This window comes from Homo sapiens, chromosome 7 (genome assembly GCF_000001405.40).
Source record: "Homo sapiens chromosome 7, GRCh38.p14 Primary Assembly".
NCBI classification, from domain to species: domain Eukaryota; kingdom Metazoa; phylum Chordata; class Mammalia; order Primates; family Hominidae; genus Homo; species Homo sapiens.
Genome location: NC_000007.14, coordinates 27897829 through 27917838, shown reverse-complemented (window position 1 = coordinate 27917838; position 20010 = coordinate 27897829). Strand labels below are relative to the sequence as shown.

At 41.1% G+C, this 20010-nt stretch overlaps 1 protein-coding gene across 5 annotated transcripts in view; it reads left to right on the top strand.

Moving 5' to 3' along the window:
- JAZF1 (JAZF zinc finger 1) overlaps positions 1-20010 on the top strand; it is a 350219-nt gene that overhangs the window by 262957 nt on the left and 67252 nt on the right. Inside the window, exon 3 of one of the 5 annotated variants that reach the window (XM_047420027.1) lies at positions 4386-4447. The exons of the other annotated variants lie outside the window; for them this stretch is intronic. The gene's annotated coding sequence lies outside the window, so the exon portion shown is untranslated. The remainder of the gene's footprint in view (positions 1-4385; positions 4448-20010) is intronic. 5 annotated transcript variants of the gene reach the window in all.

The window sequence follows — 20010 nt, the reverse complement described above, 5'->3', positions numbered from 1 at the left end:
AATGCTTAGAGTAAATAAAACGGTCTATGCAAACTTGTCATAGCATGAAAATCTCCAGCTTACCTTCCAGGGATCTTAAAATAGCTTGCTTGGCTTCTGAATACTGGTATACATGTTGCTAGCCTTCTTTGCAGTACTTTTCCCCACTCGCAGGTACCCTGACCAGTGTCTCAGCAAACATCAAAAGTCTGCAAAGACCATGTAGAAGAGCTCCATTGCCTGTTTCCACCTAAAACTCTCCCTCCTGTTCTCATTTGCTGGAAGGGCCATAAGTGTGTTCAGGTGGTAAATCTTAAATTGTCTAAACTCCGTGGTTCTCAAACCAACAGCATCAGGATCACCTGGGAACTTGTTAGACATGCAGATTATTAGTTGCCACCCTAGACCTACTGAGTCAGAACTGTGGTCTAAGCTAATGGAAGCAGTTGGTTCCTCATGCCAGTGATTGATGTAAACAATATTGTGATATAGTTCTAGCCAGTGAAACCTGAGGAGAAATACGCCAGAGTTGAGAGTGAGGAGAGGCACGCTGGAACAGGTCCTCATTGCCTTTAGAGAAGACTGTGCCTCCATGGAAAGCAAACTCAGGATGTTACCTAATGCCACTTAATGAAATGAAGCCCTTCTCTGAAATATGCAGATAAATAAGAAAATGTTTGACAAGCACTTGAAATGTCCCCAAATTGTGGATAAGCAAATATAATACATGGGTGAATGCATAGTAAGAGCCTGTAGTTTAAGGTACAATCGGTTATTTCTTTTTTAAGAGGTGAGATCTCACTCTGTTGCCCAGGCTGGTCTCCAGCTCCCGGGCTCAAGGAATCCTCCCACCTCGGCCTCCCAAAGTACTGGAATTTCAGGCATGAGCCATTGTGCCAGGCCTAGTCAGTTGCTATTATCTGTGGATTAGGTGTTTGTAAATTTGCCTTCTCACTAAAATGTATTTGTGTCCCCAAATCACTACTTGTGGTGCTTTCACAGTCACTCACCGACATGGACAGAGCGGTGGGATTTTTGAGTTGACCAGTGCACACGTTCCCAGCTGAGGCTGAGCGAAGCAGTGCTCTGCTTTCTTGTTTCAGCTCTTATATTATATGCATGTCCTTTTCACACTGTATTTAGTGCCATGTTGTTTGCATTTTGAGCTTTTTATTGGTGATCTTGCTGTTAAAAATGGCACCAAGCATAGCGCTGAAGTGCTATCTAGAGTCCCTAAGCACAAGAAGGCTGTGAGGTGACTTAAGGAGAAAATATGTGTCAGGTAAGTTTACACCAGCATGAGTCATAGTACTGTTGGCCCTGAGTTCAAGGAATCAACAATATGTATTTACAGAAGGTATGTTTAAACAGAAACACACCTAAAACAAGGTCATGTATTAGTCCATTGAGGAAAATGTTGTGGCCAGAGGCTTGCAGGAACCTAACCTTGAATTTCCCCTAGGAGCAATGGTTCAGTATACACTAACTTGGTTTCAAAGAAACTTAGTACTATGAATAACAAGTATTCATATTAGTATAAATAATCCTATTTGAAGGAGAAAAAAAATTCCACTGATCCCTTTTACATTTTTTTTTTTTCTTTTCCCTGAACCATCACTGAAATGTTGGGTTTGAGACTTAGGCTGCAACTAATCCTTTAGGTGTAACTAATGTCCTTGTGGTATTTTATTATGAACTCCTTTTGGAGAGAGTCTAAGAATGATCAAGCCACTACTGACTTCACCAGAGAATTCCAGCTCACTAGGGTTTAGAGTGCATGGTGTAAGGCCCTCTGAGGCCTCCCATACCCACCCCTGTGCACACACACAATTTAAATTCTTTGAAGGAACAAGCAAAGTACAGGGATAAGAGATTTAAGGTCAAATCATTCTAAATATGAACTGAAATTTCAGTTGAATTCTACTTAATTTTTCAGAATCAAATCTTCTCTTGTAAGAACCCCAGTATTTACTGGATAGTATTTCACTGTTACCTTGAATAAGTCAATAAATCAGGTCCATCATGTTTCAAATTTAATAGCTGCCTTATTAACCAAAATGGAGTATTAATAATAAAGTCAATATATTTACTGCCCTTTTCAGTGGGATGATTTTCATTATTCATTACTCAATTACTTTTGCAGTAAAAAGAAATGAGTTATGATTTGTTTTGGATGAGCATGTTGTTAAATTAATGGCTTGTTTCAAATGTTTCAACCTAAATGTTGTAGTTGAAGAACATCAGTGAAACTTTGCACTTCACCTTATTCAGGATAATAAACCTGTTCTAATCAAAACATTAAAACTTGCTTCATTTTTAATTACTCTACAGCAATACCATATTGTTATATGATACCTGGAATATAACACTTTTTAAAAAGTGCTAGCGATCAAATTATGCACCTTGATTAATTAGGCAATAACCCATGAAAGATCTATTGTTACCAGTGAGTAAAGACTAGTTTGCTATTTAATGACCCAAGATGAAGTCAGGCTGAGCTAAGCTGAAAGAAGGCACTCGTTAACCACAGGAAGGATGAATTTTGCAAATTATAATTACCATATTAAATGGAATTTGGTGATTTATTACAGCCCCCTTTTGAAACATAGCATTATAAAGAATTCCTGCCTTCAGCAAGGCAGGAAGCTTGAGCTCCTCCCTGTTTATTTTATAATTACTCAATAAAATCCAGACAAAATTAGTTGTTACCAGTAATTAATGACCAGTTTAATAAAGAAGGGAGTCTAGCAGATGGTGATTATTTTTTTAATAGGGCCTGCTTGAAGGAATCATCCTCATAGTAAACTCTTAACAGTAATTTGTAGCTAAAATGGCTGGTGGTTGCCATCTTATTGGTTGCTGAGGCTGGGTCTAATCCTCGCCTAAGGGCTGGGGCTCATTTCTTCACCAGCTAAAATCCTTTACATAAAGTAAATGGCGCTCTGGTTACTGCCATGAATAAACTAGGTCCTATGAGCACACTAGAGGGAGGTTCTAGAACAGAGGAGCCCAGTGCATGGCTTGTGAAATCCAGAAGGCTGTTTCCTGTAGGGACATTGGGCATCAGATGGAGTCAAGGCTGAACCGATCTACTGTAGCATCCTGAGAGGCCCCTGTGTGGAAATGAAAGGTAACTGTTGCCCTGTGCTTCTGAAGAAGTGCTATATCTATATGGGAGATCTAGTAACAATTGCAAGGTAAATGTTGGCCACACAGCACTCTTGTCCTTGGCTGGTGAGCAGGAGTTTCCATTTTTAGTAAGGGATGTGAGGGCTACTTCCCTGGCAGTCCTGCTGAAGGCATGAGAAAATCAGAATGCAGTCAGGCAACAAAAGGTTGCCACAATTTATATAAACCTAAACAAAACAGAAGCTGGGGTTGACGAGCACACACAGTAGTTTTTAACATCCAGGACCAAAGTACAGCCCCCGGCCCAACCATACACAGTGGTCTTCTGCTTCGGGCCTCACGCTGTGCATAACATACTCCCCACAGTTGGCTTTAGAATTTTTTGTGCCCTCCCTCAGGTGCCTATTCCAGGCTGTTAGCAGCATTTGAAGAGCAGAGAACCTGTCCCCATCTCCATGTCCCCTCAGCCCACGTACAGGTACCTCCATAACTACTTGTGAAATGGAGTTACAGCATCTGAAAATATTAGGAGCAATTCCTTGCATTGTTGACTCAACTTTCCAGTTTACAAGTATTCAAAAATTTTCAACCCACATAGCAAACAGATAGCAGGCGGTTCTCTCCACATTTTGTTTCTCCTGCCCCTGTGCTCTGTCCCCAGATTTGTTCTCTCTCAGTTCTCCCGCCCCTCTTATTCATTCGATTTTACTGTGCTTTAAATCTTTATCCTGAAGAGCCACCTTACGTGCTTTCAGAACTTGTGGAAATAAAGAAACACATCAATGAAACCCCCATTTACAGATAAGAAAACTGAAGCTCAGAGAGGTTAAAAGCTTATCACAGGCATATAACTAGCACGTGGTAAAGCTGGATACAGGGCTTGCCTGCAGGTCCCACCTTTGCTTCTCTGCTAAGAGCCCCTGCTAGGTAACAACTCACTAAGAGTGAAAGAGAGAAATTAGACTTCAATTATAGTAAGAAGAAGGTAGGTCAGAAAGCAAATGGCCAAGGTATCTCACTGCCTGAATGCAAGAGAAATGAGGCATCTGCAAGGGCTCCCATAGGTGGGTTGGATTTTCTTCTTCTGGAGATGTTAATCAGTCAAGGAATAGAGGGTAAGAGCAAGCTTGACCCAGTGTGCTCTGACTCAGTGTGAAAGAGAGCAAGGGGTTTCCACTCCTCCTGCAGCTGTGCTGACCACTTAGCTCCGCAGCGCCCCTCCCACCAAGCTCTGTTCACGTGGGGTCTCTTTGTTCCCCACCCTCTTCCGCCCACAGACAGCGGAGATGAGACAGACCTAGAGAAGACCTCCCTTCTCGCTGTCCTACTTGTCCAAAAGGTATGGCCTTCTGGTTCTTTTGTTGTTTTTTTCTTCCTCCCTTTTCTTAACACATTGTATGGTTAGAAAATCTCAATCTGGCTACACACACACACACAAATATATATATATAATATATATAAATACATATATAATATGTAAACATAAATATCTATGTATATACATATATAAAAAATGTATATAAATTTTTTTTTAATGTATGCTGTTCTGTATTGACCTCCCTTTGGTCCCATAAGGCCTAATGAGGAGGCAGATTCTGGAGGCCCTCAGGAGGTGAATTAACTCTTTCAAAGACACTGGGGTAGCATTCAGTGAATTACCCACTAAGTAGCTCCCAGATATCCTGAAAGATACAATGTCTCCTCACAAATACCTCATGTTCTCCGAGGGAGCGATACGGACACAGAGAATGTGTGGTTAATTGCGTAAATGAGGCCAGAGTCAGCTGTATCATCAGCACCGTGAGTGGAAACAGTATCTGCCACCATCACGAGTGATGACAGGGGAAAGGGAGCTTTGTGTTGGCCGTCTCCAGTCTTTTCCCAGCTGTCATAGGCAACTCTGGCCTTCTGTTTGTGCACTTTCTGCATTTTAATTCCCAGAATTCCTCTTTTCCAAATTCTGCATTGTAGGGCCACATGCTCTGGGCCACATGTTCTGTAAATAGTCACCCAAGCCCCATTGTAAATTATATAGGGGGGAAAAAGTTGGAAATGTCTTAATTGGCTTTTCAGAACTCTAAATTTCAAGGTTTTTGTTTTAATTTTAACCTTAATCTTAACAGCCCATTCTAATAACCTTTCTCACTATTCCCTCTTCCTTCCTCCCTCTCTGCATCACCCACCTCCATTTATAGGGGTGGGTGAAAAATTTTCTTCTGAAGTCAGTGAGAGTTTCGGACTCCTATCGTTCGATAGGATGCAGAGTATGGAGGTAAACTAGCCCCAAGATTTTTCTCACCCTCTCCAAGAGAAAACCCAGTTTGGTCTCAGGTCTTACCCAAGTAAAATTCCTGCATTGTGAGCAGACTTTTCACTTCCAATAAGGAAAAGGAGTCGACTTTTTCTCTAGGTGTTTTTGGTTACACAGTAAGAAATACAAGGTCAGTTAACATCACAAAGAATCCCCCAGGCAACTGAAAGAAGTGTAAGTGAAAATTATTGTAAAGTACCCTTCACAGCGGGTACCAATGTTAGAGTTTTATTTCAGCAAATTGTTGGGATCCCATTATTTAGGAGGGTTTGTGAACAGATTGAAATGGAATTTGAGCTACTTATTGCATAAAAGCCACGTGATGCTTATGTCCTCTATTAACATTTTTCAGCTCCCAGTACACCCCCATTCTGAGCTGGAAGATATAAATGCTATGCCTTTGAGAGGACGTCTTTGCATAAAACACTCAAATAAATAAATGTACTTTTTCATTTCAGATCTTCACTCTTAAATAATGTTTGTACCCCAGATGTTCATCTAAAAACATAAAAATATTGTCTGAAAAAAATATATGAGACCCATTACTCAGTCTCTCCTCCTGCCATTTATACTGCAGGTATTCCCCAAGTTTCTCTTCTCAACCTTTGCCTCCTTTTCCCTGCTTGCTCCCTTAGTTTTCTCCTCTGGGTGGATGACTCCCAAATCTAGATCACTGACCTGTTTGTCCACATCCTTGAGTATCCCACCACCATTTCACACCCAGCGTATCCAGATGGAGCTCTTATCAGTTGTAACAGCACTGCTCAATAGGACTTTCTGTGATCGTGGAAATTTTATGTTTCTATTCAATATGGTAGCCCTTAGCCATATGTGGCTACTTAAATTAAGTAAAATTAAATAAAATTATAAATTTCATTCCTTGGCTGTACTAGCCACATTTCAGGTGTTCATAGCTTCATATGGCTAATGGCTACTGTATTGAACAACACAGACTTTTAGCATTTTGTAACTTTCCTATGGCATGATATTAGCTGTGGGTCCTTGGGCAAACTACCTGATGTCTCAAGGCTCAATTTTGTATCTGTAAATAGGACTGATAACCCCTTGCAAGCTGTTATGAGGATTAAATAAGGTAATAATGATAAAGCACGTAGCATATCACATACTAAAAAGACTTTAAAAGTCATAGATCTTTTGCCCTTATTCCTTCTTTAATATTAACATCCAGATATCCACCTGAAGCTTGGATAATGTGAATGCTCTCCAGAGCCATTTTAAGAAGGGGTTAGTTTGCACACCGTTGGGAACACCTAAAAACGCTATGGATTAAATCTGGCTTAAAGCTGTAGCTCTTCGGTGTTTGGTTGTTGGAAAAGTTCTGAGCAATTCTGTGCATCATGGTTAATATAAGAGTGCTCGGCAGGGTCTGACAAGATTCTCCTAGTTGGTTGGAATTATTTTAGTTAGGGTATTTGTCTCATTTCCCAGGGCACAATAACAGAAGGAAAATCTCCACGAGGCTAGCATCTGGTGCAGTAATGATTGAGAGGTAACCCCATCTGAAAATGCCCATTGCTTCAGTGGATACTTGGGGTGGGGGGAACAACCGCTTGGTTTGCATACACGAACTTGGTGAAAGAGGCTCCCTGGTCACCAAAAATGGCCCGGGTGTTGGGTGCAGAGGTGTCCAGGACCTTCAGTCACTCAAAAAGGAGCCCTCTGCTGTGGACCATTCCTGCATACGCAAGTAATGGGTTTTAAAGAGGGTTTGCCTGGTTTATATCCCGGCTGCAATCCATTAAAGCTTTAATTACACTAATTAGGGATTTGGGATAATCAGGTTGGCTGGCCTGAAATAGGGGCCTGTACTCTCTGAGAAAAGCTTTGCTAAATAAACCAGCAGGATAAACAGGATTGTGGGACGCATGCATTCCTGGGAGCCAGCTGATGCCCAGGATTAGTGCATGCCTTTGGCATGCAAATGAAGGCTGCTCCTTGTAAATCAGCAGAAGGTCCAGAGGCCCCTCCAAGAAATACTTCATTAGCAGTTAAGTAGTGACATTCTTGAAAAATTTAAACACACACATACCCCCTGAATTTTTTTCCAGATAACCCATAAATTTGTGCAGGCTTTGCATGGGAGCTGTGCATGGGATGGAGCATGTAGGGGAAAGGTGGCTAGGAGAGCTTATAAAATACACATTGATTTCAAAGCATTACTGAATAGTGGTTTTATGTCATTCTTTTTTCCCTCTAACTTAAAAACCACCAAAATCTCACTATACTGTGCAAGACAGCATACCATTTGACATTATAACAGACTCTCATACCTGAAAGAGTTGGGAACCATTGGCTGATATTTTCAAATTAATAAACATTCAGTGTCATTCAATGGTATAGACTCTATATAACAGTGCTCCTCCTTTGCAAGCATTTGGCAGTGTGTGTTGTGTCCCTGCGGTTATGCTGCTGGCCATCTTAATTGTGAATCTATGTTAGGTATTTCCCAGGAACTATGTTGGAAAAATTTCCTTTTCCCTTTGTTCTCTTCTGTCTTTCCTTTCTTCCATTTTTAAAAATCCGTATATATTTTTAAGTGATTATGTGAACACAAGATGAAAAATATGTGAATTATCAATCATGGCCTAAAAAGGGAGGAAGGGAGAAAGCTTAAATAAGATAGCAAAATATTGACATTGTGGCGGTTGTTGTGGGTTTTTTGTTTTTTTGTTTTGTTTTGTTTTTTGTTTTTGAGATGGAGTTTCACTCTTGTTGCCCAGGCTGGAGGGCAGTGGCGGATCTCAGCTCACCACAACCTCCACCTCCCAGGTTCAAGCGATTCACCTGCCTCAGCCTCCCTAGTAGCTGGGATTACAGGCATGTGCCACCATGCCCGGCTAATTTTGTATTTTTAGTAGAGATGGGGGTTTCTCCATGTTGGTCAGGCTGGTCTCGAACTCCCGACCTCAGGTGATCCGCCCGCCTTGGCCTCCCAAAGTGCTGGGATTACAGGCATGAGCCACCGCGCCCGGCCAGTGGTGGGTTTTTTTTTTTTGAAATTATGCCTAATAAAAAGTTTAAATTATCACCATCATCAACATCTGCGTCCTTTCCATACCCAAGATTTACACACAGTTCACAGTTTACCAAGTATATTTAGCACTCAGACTAATTGGGTTAACCTTCAGTAGGCAGAAGAGGAGGCATGGAACTTCACATTTCTTCAATTAAAAAAAGAAAGTGGTTATTCAAAATTAGCAGGGCCTGGGTGGTTATTCAAAATTAGCAGGGCCTGGTGGTGTGCAACTATAGTCCTAGCTACTCAAGAGGCTGAGGCAGGAAGATTGCTTGAGCCCAGCAGGTCGAGGCTGCAGTTACCTATGATCACGCCACTGTACTCCATTCTGGACAGCACAGCGAGATTCTGCCTCTGAATGAATGAATGAATGAATGAATATTATTCAAGTGTGTACTTACCTGAATAACCTAATAATACCTGAACATATTCAACAGGTGCCAGCCTCCTGGATAACAGGGAAAACTAAACTTGTCAATAGACAAAATTACAACAAATTTAAAGACTTCACTTGATTTTTATTTGTGATTCTCGAATCAGGCAACACCTCATTTTATAAAATAGAATGTGTGTTCCAATGAGCTGAGTAGATGAGGTTGGCCTGATAGGCAGAAAAGGGCTGAGAAAAGCAGAAACAGAACAAAAAGTGCATTGGTTCTTTTAAAGTCATTTGTTGTTCTTACAGGGGACTTCCAGCTTAGGTAAACTGGGCCCCTTCTGATTGGTTGCTGTGACTGTCCTGTTTTTTTGGAAAACTGGCCCATTTCAAAGTTTAGCCTGAGCAACTCCATTCTGGTTTGGTCTGCTCAGTTGGGGCCTAGTGCAGAACCTTAGTCCAAATCAGTGACCGTCCATGAATTTTATTTAATGCTTTTAAGTTCAGAAGTAGTTTAACTGAACTCTTGCAACAAAAGGCAAAAAATCACTTTGAAAAAAAATCAACCCCCAAAACCCATGAGACTTGAGGTCTGTAAGCTTGAGATGCCCACATGCACATGCTTTGTCACAGAACAGCCCATGCTGGAAACTGGCTTTGCCCCCAAAATAGTTTTACTGTCTTATTATTAGTACTTCATTTAAGAAAAAGTGCTGTAAACTCTGCTCTATCTTTCAACAATGCTAATTTGCTGACTGCTATTCTGTGTATAAACAAGTCTCATATACACCATAAATTTGAGCAGTTGGCCCATACATAATTACATTTCATGAATAGATGCTGTTATCTGAATATGTCACTAATATTCTTGCTTTAGCTTGGGGACAGCTCTTGTCTTAGACATACTCAACTTTCTCTCTCAGATATTACAGTCTGCCAGCTTTGTTCTCTGATTTTCTGAGAAGGGATAAAGTATGTACCAAATGCCCAGGCCAGGGTATTAGTGGAAATCTCAGTAGATATAGAAGAAAATGTGTAAGTCCACGATGGCACAGACTTTCAGCTTACATGTCACCTTCATTGGTTTGTAGTGACTACCTAGGGCACAGTGCTGAAGAAAACTGTAAGGCTGAGTCCCAAAGCAGCACAGGCAAGAGTGCTGTAATCGATTCGTGTGGCCGTCTTGGGCAGAGTGCATTTAAGTGGCACGAGAGCCACTGTGTGTGCCATCTCTGGCATAGAAAAACCCTACCTATTTGAGACCTCCTCTCACATTGAGAATCTTCTACCATCTCATTTGCTTCTCCTCCCCTTTCTCAACCCAGTGTTTAATTAACTGGACACCTCCAGTGTGCCTCACCCCCTGGTGCTAGATTCCCCGGGAGTCCCTTGTTCTTAGCTGGATGTTGATGGTCACCCACCCCACCTTGTCAGAAGAATTCACCTAAGGATAAGGCCATGCAACATCAGAGAAGCACTTTTCTTTGGAAATGGAGATGTCCAATCCCAGGCTTCGATACCTATCTTAGCCCAACTGTGGACTGCATAGGTTCCCCCAAGAAATTACCTCTTATGTAAGAATTCTCCTAGATGGCAGTTAAATTTATAAACAATTTCTCCTTCCTGGGAAAGGGTCAGGAGCACAAGGCCAGCACCCATGGAAATACCACAACTCTGAGTGGTCTCCTAACATATATTGAGTATTATGTGGAGCCAAGGGCTTTTCATGCATTTATCCAATGAGATGTTGATAATAAACCCCATGAGGTAGGTGTTAGGATTACCTCTGTTTTATAAGGAGGACCCCAAGATGAGAAGGAGTCATTAATTTTCTAAGCTTGAACACCAACTAACTCAGATTAAGAGTTTGCCTTCAGAACCTAGATTTTTTCACCCACCAGGCTGTGTTCCCAGCTGAATACTGGATTTAAAACTCTAAGAGCCTTAGTGCAACTTTCTCTTCAGTTTTTAAATTTCTTCTAGTTTATGGGGAAAGTTACGCATCATCTCATTAGCAGCTTACAGTGAAACCTCAATAACTCATTTAATTTACTTCTAGAGGAGGCAAAACAAGAAAACTGAAAAGCTATTTGTAGTTTTATACCACAAAACCTTGTAAAGTGCAGCTTCTTTGTTTTGTTCATTAGTCTTTACGTGGATGTCAAATTAGCAATGAAAACCATGTGTAAGAAATAGCCATAGTTATTTGCAATTCAATGAGGGTAGAAAAGGAACGGAAAGGAGGATAGGGAGTTGCCAAGAGAAAGATATTCCATTGGTCTCCAAACCAAAGACTTGTGGTATGGTAGCTTTCAGAAGTGTTTTTTATTCTTGGCATCAATGACGGAAAAGACCATGGTTTATTTTATTCAGGCTAAAGTAAATCAAAATTAATTGCTTCACTGATAATTTATGCTGACCTGTGACTTTAAAGAGTGATTGCCAGAGCCTGAGCAAGCTTTCATTAAGGTAGATTGACTATATCATTCCATAGTTGTGAAGAAAATATACAATATTTGTTGGGAACATACAAAGACATAGTATTCAGGAATGGGATTTTGTTATTTCAATGGCTCAGCTTTGGTGCCTGGATTTCATTTGAGTGCCAAAATTTAGGAAAAGATACTACTGGTTTAAAAAAGTGGTTCTTAAGTGCTATCCACACCACAGCTGCTAGTCTGCTGCTGTTCATGAGGACGTTTCCACTGGTCTGCAGTGTCTGCCTGGGGCATGTGGGGCCAGGGAACGGGGGCATCCAGCACCTCACCACCCCTCTGTGTGTCCAGCTGTGAGAGGACACTCAGCTCTTGCTCACCACCTCCCAGCTCTTGGAAAGGAGAAGCTACTGGATTTGAGTGCCCTTGTATTTGCCTTCTTTCGTTTGCTTAGCATATTTCAAGCAATTCCACCTAAATTTAAGAGTTCTGTTTGGTCAGCATTCCTTGCAACTGAATTTTTCGCAATGATAATAATAGAAAACACATTTAGATATTTTTAAAAATTTGCATCTAGAGAATAATTGTAAACAGTATGTTATAAATAATACTATATATATGTGATGCAAGTATAAAGTAATGATAACATGAAATTTTATATTGTGGCTTTTCTTCATCAAAACAGTTTAAGTAGATTTTTCCTATGTTCTGTTATCATAATCTCAGAATAAAGAAGAATCTTTCTCAAGAAAGCCTTTCTCAAGAAAGGATTTATTCCAAGATTATGCTCTTCCTATATTTTATGTTAAAGTAGTTTTTCCTTTTTAATTAGAGGCTGGTGATGATAGATGGTAGTTAGATAAGGTATACATGGCAATATAAAAATTGGCAACCCAATGTTATTTAAATACTAAAAAAGGTATGGAATATCCAAACTATAATATACCAAAGAGAATATAAATTTACTGTAGCTGCCTTTAAAAAAGAAAATAAAAATAAGAAAAAAAATAAAAAATAAAAAGAAAAATAAATAAAATATGATTGTCAAGACAGTAGATGAAGGAAAGATCACCTTTTATCTTTTTTTATCCTTACCCCACCTTTTCTTCTTCCCTCTCCCCCACAAAAAAAAAAAAGAAAGAAAGAAATGAACATCTAGAAGCAAAATAAGCTACAAGGTTTGGTATGAAATTGGCTTGCCCTCATATTTATTTATTTTATGCAAAATTAGATTAGAATTCTCCAAAGACCGGGAACTATATCCTTCCATATATGTCATATATAAACTTAGAAAACTTAGAAAAACAGGCCAGGCGTGGGTAGCTCATGCCTGTAATCCTAGCACTTTGGGAGGCCAAGGCAACGAGACTGCTTGAGCCCAGGAGATAGAGACAAGCCTGGGCAGCAGAGTGGGATCCTGCCTCTACAAAAATTTAGCCTTGGATGTGGTGCTCTACAAAAAATACAAAAATTAGCTGGGTTTGGAAGTGCATCCCTGTAGTCCCAGCTACTTGGGAGGCTGAAGCAAGAGGATCACTTGAGCCCAGGAGGTCAAGGCTGCAATGAGCCGTGATGGCACCACTGCACCCCAGCCTGGTTGACAGAGTGAGACCCTGTCTTAAAAAGAAAAGGAGAGAGAAAATAACGTCTCTCTTAATGCAGTAAGTCTGTCAGTTTTAGTTTGGTACCCAAGAACACAATCTATTTCATTAGCTGTGTACTACTCAGATTATATCCACAACCATTGTAAAGGTCAAGTGAAAAATCACAAAAAATACCTCTTACAAGTTAAGTGCCAAACTGATCTGATCAAATGGAGTGGGTTTTTTTTCCTGGTGCTGCTTTTAGTTTTATTATTTTTCATTAGAATTTTAATAGCATGTTAAAAGGGGCTCAGAGTTTCGGTGATACTGCAAAAGTTCTATGAAGCTTCAAAATCCACCCCGTGGGCCTCAGATCGTGAAGTCAGAAATAACTCTGGGATAAGAAGTGAAACATAGGATTATTTAAAGCATTACTAGAAACTTTCTGAAATTAATGTTATTTGGAAATCCAGATTTTCTCTTTTCTACTGAAAAGTACATTTATTAAGTTCCCAGATCACCAAAAAAGGCCATTCTATTAACGAAGGGGTGCTGACAAATGATTACTCCACTTGCTGTTTCTAGGTCGTTTTACTAACTCGCTGTTTTAACCAAATACGCCTTTAGCTTCACTATGGAATTAAGTTGCTGCTAAAATAAGAAGATCCGCCACATGAATTTATTAGCAGATGTACGTTCTGAAAGCCATCATTACATTGAGACCTAGAGCAGCCAGATCCTTTGACATGTGGGCCACACATGGTTGCATGCTGAAATGTACCCATTATTTCCATCACCGTTTCCTACAGCCACATTTCAAATGTGCCATGCACTGTTTTGCTTACTTACTGGTTCTCTATCCATCCTTGTCCTGGATTGCATAGTAACAGCCAGAGAAAAGAAAAATCCTTACTCTCCATGTTAGACTGTCCTTCAGAAGGTTAGATTGTCATGTCAGAAATACCATCATCTGGAGCAATGAATTACCAGATTTGGGAGTGCTTGGAATCTCAGGGCCCATCTGCCAACTCCCCACAGCTTTTCTCAAAAGCTTGTTTTTGCTGAAAAATGGCAATGCCCAAAGGGCCATTGAAAAGGCAGAACAAAGCTTTTGAACTTCAAATGAAGCATAGTTGGATGTGATGTTCTACAGAGGGTCTGCTAGCAGACGAAGTCAGAGCCTTGTGCAACTTGATGAATCTGCCAAGCAGAGAACAGCCCTTAGCTGGATGGAAGGATGTCAGTCCAGCAGCTCATGGCATGGAGGGTCTCCTGTTGCCTGTCCTGCTGGAAAGACCCTCTATAATTTTGTTCTACTCTAGAAATCAAGGCCAGGAAGTAAGAAGAGGTGTATGAGTTTATAGATGGGCCCCAGCGTGTTGTCTAATGAGAGGAACCTTCTTTTTCTGTTCATGAGTAGTTATTGTATCTGTCTTCTTGAATTTGCCTGTGATTGCCATTTAATAGATACCATTGCAATTTAATAGATGCCTGGGCCGGGCACAGTGGCTCACGCCTGTAATCCCAACACTTTGGGAGACCAAAGTGGGCAGATTGCTTGATCCCAGGAGTTCAAAACTAGCCTGGGCAACATGGTAAAACCCCATCTTTACAAAAAGTACAAAAAATTATCCAGATGTGGTGGTGAACGCCTGTAGTCCCAGCTACTCAGGAGGCTGACATGAGAAAATCACACGGCTGCTAGTGAGCCATGATCATGCTACTGCATTCCAGCCTGGGCGACAGAGTGAGCCAAAAAATAAATAAAAATAACATTAATGCCTGCAGAATCAGTAAAGGTGGCTCTTTGCTTTCAGAATCAGCAAAACTCATGATGGCAGTATTTAAAATCCTAATATTCCGTGCCCCAAAGTAACCAAATGCTAGTGTAGATGGCAGAAGGTGAAAGGTTTGCGAGTTAAGATTTCCAGTACAAGTGTTAGTCACTTCTTTTTTTTTTTTTTTTTTTTTTTAAGACGGAGTCTCGCTCTGTCGCCCAGGCTGGAGTGCAGTGGCGCGATCTCGGCTCACTGCAGGCTCCGCCTCCCAGGTTCACGCCATTCTCCTGCCTCAGCCTCCTGAGTAGCTGGGACTACAGGCACATGCTGCCATGCCTGGCTAATTTTTTGTATTTTTAGTAGAGATGGGGTTTCACTGTGTTAGCCAAGATGGTCTCGATCTCCTGACCTTGTGATCTGCCCATCTCGGCCTCCCAAAGTGCTGGGATTACAGGCGTGAGCCACCGTGCCCAGCATGTTAATCACTTCTTTTATGAACCAGGAACCTGACATTTGTTAAGCACGAAGTGTCAGGCCCTGTTCTAAGTGCTTTATGAATATTAACTTACTTAATCCTCACCACAACCCTTGGTCGGACCTGTCATTGTCACCATTTATAGATGAGAAAATGGCAGCACCGAAAGGCTAGGTAGGTAACTTGCCCAATGTCATCACACAGCTAGCAGGGCATGGATCAGGGATTTGAATCTAGACAGTCTACCTCCAAAGCCCACCCTCTTAACTGCTACACTAATATATTCAGACTCCAGACCATGACCTCCCAGGGGGTCAAGAAGTCAATGTGGTGGTCATGACCATCATATTTTGTTAAAATGAAATAGAACAGGAAAATGACAGAGTATATCACATGTAGTAAAGATTGTTTTGTGAAATTTCTGTTTCAGATATTTATATTAAAATGTCTTGTCCTTGAGTCCAGAAATGTTTCATTATTCATAATTTTTTAGATTTCATAAAGATAATATAGTAGAAATACTTCATATTACATAATACCCCCATTAGGGTCTGGGGCAGCCCCATATAATCACGTACATTAATATTTATACAGTGAAACACATGAATATTTTCAGTAAATACAATAAAATCTGTAAGTAGCCTTTCACCCAGTCAGGTTAGTTTGCCTTCCAATGATGTTTTAGTGCCAAACTTTATTTTTAAAAAATTTCAGGTTTCAGAGCTTTGGAGATCTCAAAATTGCAGGTTGCAGGCCTATTTATACATGTGAGCGCACCAGGTCGCACCGTGAGATACGTTTCTTATAATGGGTTGAAGTCAAAACAAAGTTTGAAAAATACTGCACAGTGCTATTGCTGGAATCATTCACTGTTAGAACTGGGAAGGACCCTAGCAGTGATGTATTCCATATATCCATAAAACCAAATCTCAATTTTAACAGGTAGAAAAACTAGGACCACAAAAGTGAATACAGTGACTCCCGGAGGCCACCAGTTTCTTTGCCCCAGAACAAGCCTCCTGGCGACATGCAGTGCAGGCCTCTGGACCATGTGTCCTCTCCAGAGTCTCATAATCACAGCCACATCACACCACACATCTTGGAGTTTTCAGTTTTTTCTGAGACTGCAGTTTCAAGTGGTCACTTCAGTTTCTGAGTTCTCTGATCCAGTGAAAGCCAAGTGATTTTTTTCCCCAGCAGGTCACTTAGACTCAGGTGTTTTGGCCATGGAGTGAGGTGGCAATGGAGTCTCTGCCCAGGTTCCAGCAAATAGTGTACATTTCCTGAGTTTGTGGTTGAAACTAGTCTCCCTGGACCAGCAGTTGACATTTTCCCCCTGTGGAGTTATATTCATGTTTCCACGTTGAGCATGTCAGACTGAATGAACATTGTGGTCTGAGGATTTAAAAGATTTATAATGGAGTCTTGAAAATTTACTTAAGGAATATGTACTTCCCCTAGCAATAACAAATATTGCTACAAATGACCATATTAAATTAAAGTAACTTAGACATTTCTGATTTGTAGGGAAGTTGAAATTAATCTTACAGCAGTTTCAGTTTCAAAATGAAAACACTGCTTTGCCTGACCGCAGATTTTCAGGCTGTTAGTCAACAGTGAGTGAAAGAGTCTCAAGTGACTTTTTTTCTTTAAGAAATATTCAGTGTTCTCTACGTGTAGAAAAATGTTAGAAGGAAAAACCCTAAAATATCAACCATAGTTTTATCTGGGTAATACGTCTCTTAGAAAAAAAAAAAAAAAGTTTTTACACAGGAAACATCAAAAATTCTTTTCATAAGCTGAATGGTAGGTACACGGATTTCTATTTTATTAAAATCTTTATGTGTGGAAATGTATATATTGATTTGCATATATATTCCATAATTTTAAAAAATACCTTTATTTCATTTCTTTTCCTAACCTGTGTGTTGGTCAATTAAAAAACTTTTTAAACATAAGTCACAAATCCATAAAAAATGTTCTGTAAATGTTCTTTACTGAGATATATTACTTTTTACAATTTTAAAAAAGAAGACTTTCTTATTCATTCTTCGTTCCTTCCCTGATTAATTCCTTTAGTGAGTAGGCAAGAAGCCCGGTTCAAATGCTTTTTTTTCCCCACATTAAAAAATAATAATCACTAGAAGGTGTACTGGCAAATGTTGAACTGACTTGGGGAGGAAAAAAGTCTCAATTTGTGTTATTGCCAGTTTCTGTGGTGTAAATACTCCTGCCATAGCCAATTTCAAGCTACCCACATGTTACTGAACACAGAGTAGGTTACTTTGCATTATACAGAATATAGTTATAAATAATTCTACCAAATAGATAAAATGTTAATGTAAATAACAAGAATATAGATAATATTAAAATTCAATAAAATAAGTGATGAGCCTTGAGTTAAATATCCTTGTTTTTAACAAAGCACTTGATTTAATTATTTACGTCATTTAGTTTTTAATAACGGCTGTGTTTAACAACAGACTCACCAAATCCCTGAAAATTTAAGTCAGCTTTCACAACCCAGTATGAGCCAGCTCCAGCACACGGCGGCTGCCAGATCAGAGCAGTGTCACCATTGCAAAGCAGAGAGAATTCTGGGAGGTGGGCACAGCCAGCCTTTCCCAGATCGTAGCCCAGTGGGGCTACAATTCCAGAGACCTCCCCTGCCACAACCGGGGAGCCCAGTGGTCCCACACAGCAGGATGGACTGACATTGAGAGGATGAGCCTTTTGTTCTCCCAGCTGCCCACTGCCCCCATGTAAACCGCCAGAGGAGTTCTCACTGCATTTCCCCAGTCCCCATGCTCCAGCTCCCTGAACACTTTCAACTGTGAAAACCATGACAGCATCCCCAGGCTTGACTGGGCCCTGATGCCAGCTCTGCCACTATCCTAAATGACCTCAAACAGGTCACACCACCTCAGTTCACAGTTACTGTAACAAATGAGGGGGCTGGACCTGATGATCTGACTTAACCAAGGTTCCTTCCTGCTCTAAAACCCAAGTGAGTCAGGCGCAGTGGCTCACACCTATAATCCTAACACTTTGGGTGGGAGGATTGCTTGAGCCCAGGAGTTTGAAACCAGCCTGGGCAACATAGAGAGACCCCATCTCTACAAAAAATCCAAAAATTACCTGGGCATGGGGGGGCGTGCCTGTAGTCTCAGCTACTTGGGAGGCTGAGGCAAGAAGATTGCTTGAGCCCAGGAGGTTGGTGCTTCGGTGCACTGTAATCACACCACTGCACACCAGCCTGGGTGACAGCGAGACCCTGTCTCCAAAAAAATATCCACATCAGCCGTGATTACTGAGGGCTTCAGAAAGATCACCAGTGGTGTCCAGACTCATTGAGGAAAGCTTAGGCCACTGAGTCACATGACTTGCTTAACCTGAACTCAGCCTTGGCAACACGGTTAATCTTTCCAGACCTGATATTTGGTGAAACAGGGAACATAGTCCTCATTTGTTGGCCAGAATCACAGCCTTTGCTGTGCCTCCTTGGCTTCTCTAGACACTTTTGTCTCCCCAAATGGCTCCTTGCCACTAGGAATCTGCCCACCTTTTGACAGACAGCTGTGCTGATGGAACATTGCTCAAAAACTTGAGAATTTACTTACTAAATTAAGTCTCAGAAAATGGGTTAAGTCATGGTTAATGAAGGGAGGAGGAAGAGGAGCAGCATGCTAGTGCAGGGGAGACACGGGCCCTTTTTAACCAGGGTTCCCACAGCGTTTGTGTGGCATTCCTGTGTGTGTTTGTGGGGGCGGGTGGTGTGGGTGTGTGTGTGTATGGTTGTCACTAGAACAAATTGTGCAGCTGTGTACCTTGGTATGTCAAGGTTACCATGATTTATAGGTTGTATGTCCAAGTTCACAACACCAAGAGAGGAGGGAGAACTGCAGGAGGAAGTCTTAGCGACAGGGCTTTAAGAATGTGTTTCATGTTTAATGCTTTTAACATGGGTGCCTTGTTCTTGCTTCTAGAAAGCACTATAGAAGATATAACCCCAATCCAGATTGCTGTCTGTAGCTGGCCAAACCCATGTGAGGGTGAAGGTGGGGTTTGTGTGTGTGAATGTTGTTATGGTTGTTTATAGTTGTTGTGTTATATCTGAGCTGTAGGAGAGTATTTTACAACAAGAGGTATGAGTTCTGTAATCCCAGCACTTGGGAGGCCGAGGCAGGTGCAGCACTTGAGGTCAGTAGTTCAAGACCAGCCTGGCCAATGTGGTGAAACCTTGTCTCTACTAAAAATACAAAAATTAGCTGGGCATGGTGGTGGCACTTGTAGTCCCAGTTATTTGGGAGGCTGAGGCAGGAGAATTGCTTGAACCAGGAGGCAGAGGTGAGCCGAGATCGTGCCACTGCACTCCAGCCTGGGCAACAGTGCGAGACTCCATCTCAAAAAAAAAAAAAAAAAAACCGATGTATATATATATATATATATGAGTTAGACGTAGAGAAGCCTTTCTCTCTCTGCCTCTGGCTGTCTCTCCCTCTGTCTCTTACACTGGATATGCACCCTCTGGGTTTATTCCATTCAGCCATTCCACAAACGGAATTTCTGCTCTACACGAGGCACGTGTGTGCTCAGTGCTTTCAGAGCCATGGGTGTGTGGTGTGTCCTCAAGACACTTGGAGTTGAGTAAGGTGGACAAAATATAGAGACATAACGATATAATAATGCTTTATGTAATTAATAACAGCTTCTGCATTTTGAGCCACTTGGTACATGACAGGCCAATTACCTCATTTACTCTCACAACAGTCCTCTGAAGTTGAAATGTTATTGCCCCGTCTGCCAACAAGTCACCTTCTTAGGTTGTGAACATTCAGACTCACAGATGACCGTGGGCCACATAGGGCACTGGGTCTGTTCAGAGGATGGAGGACAAGTCGCCTTCT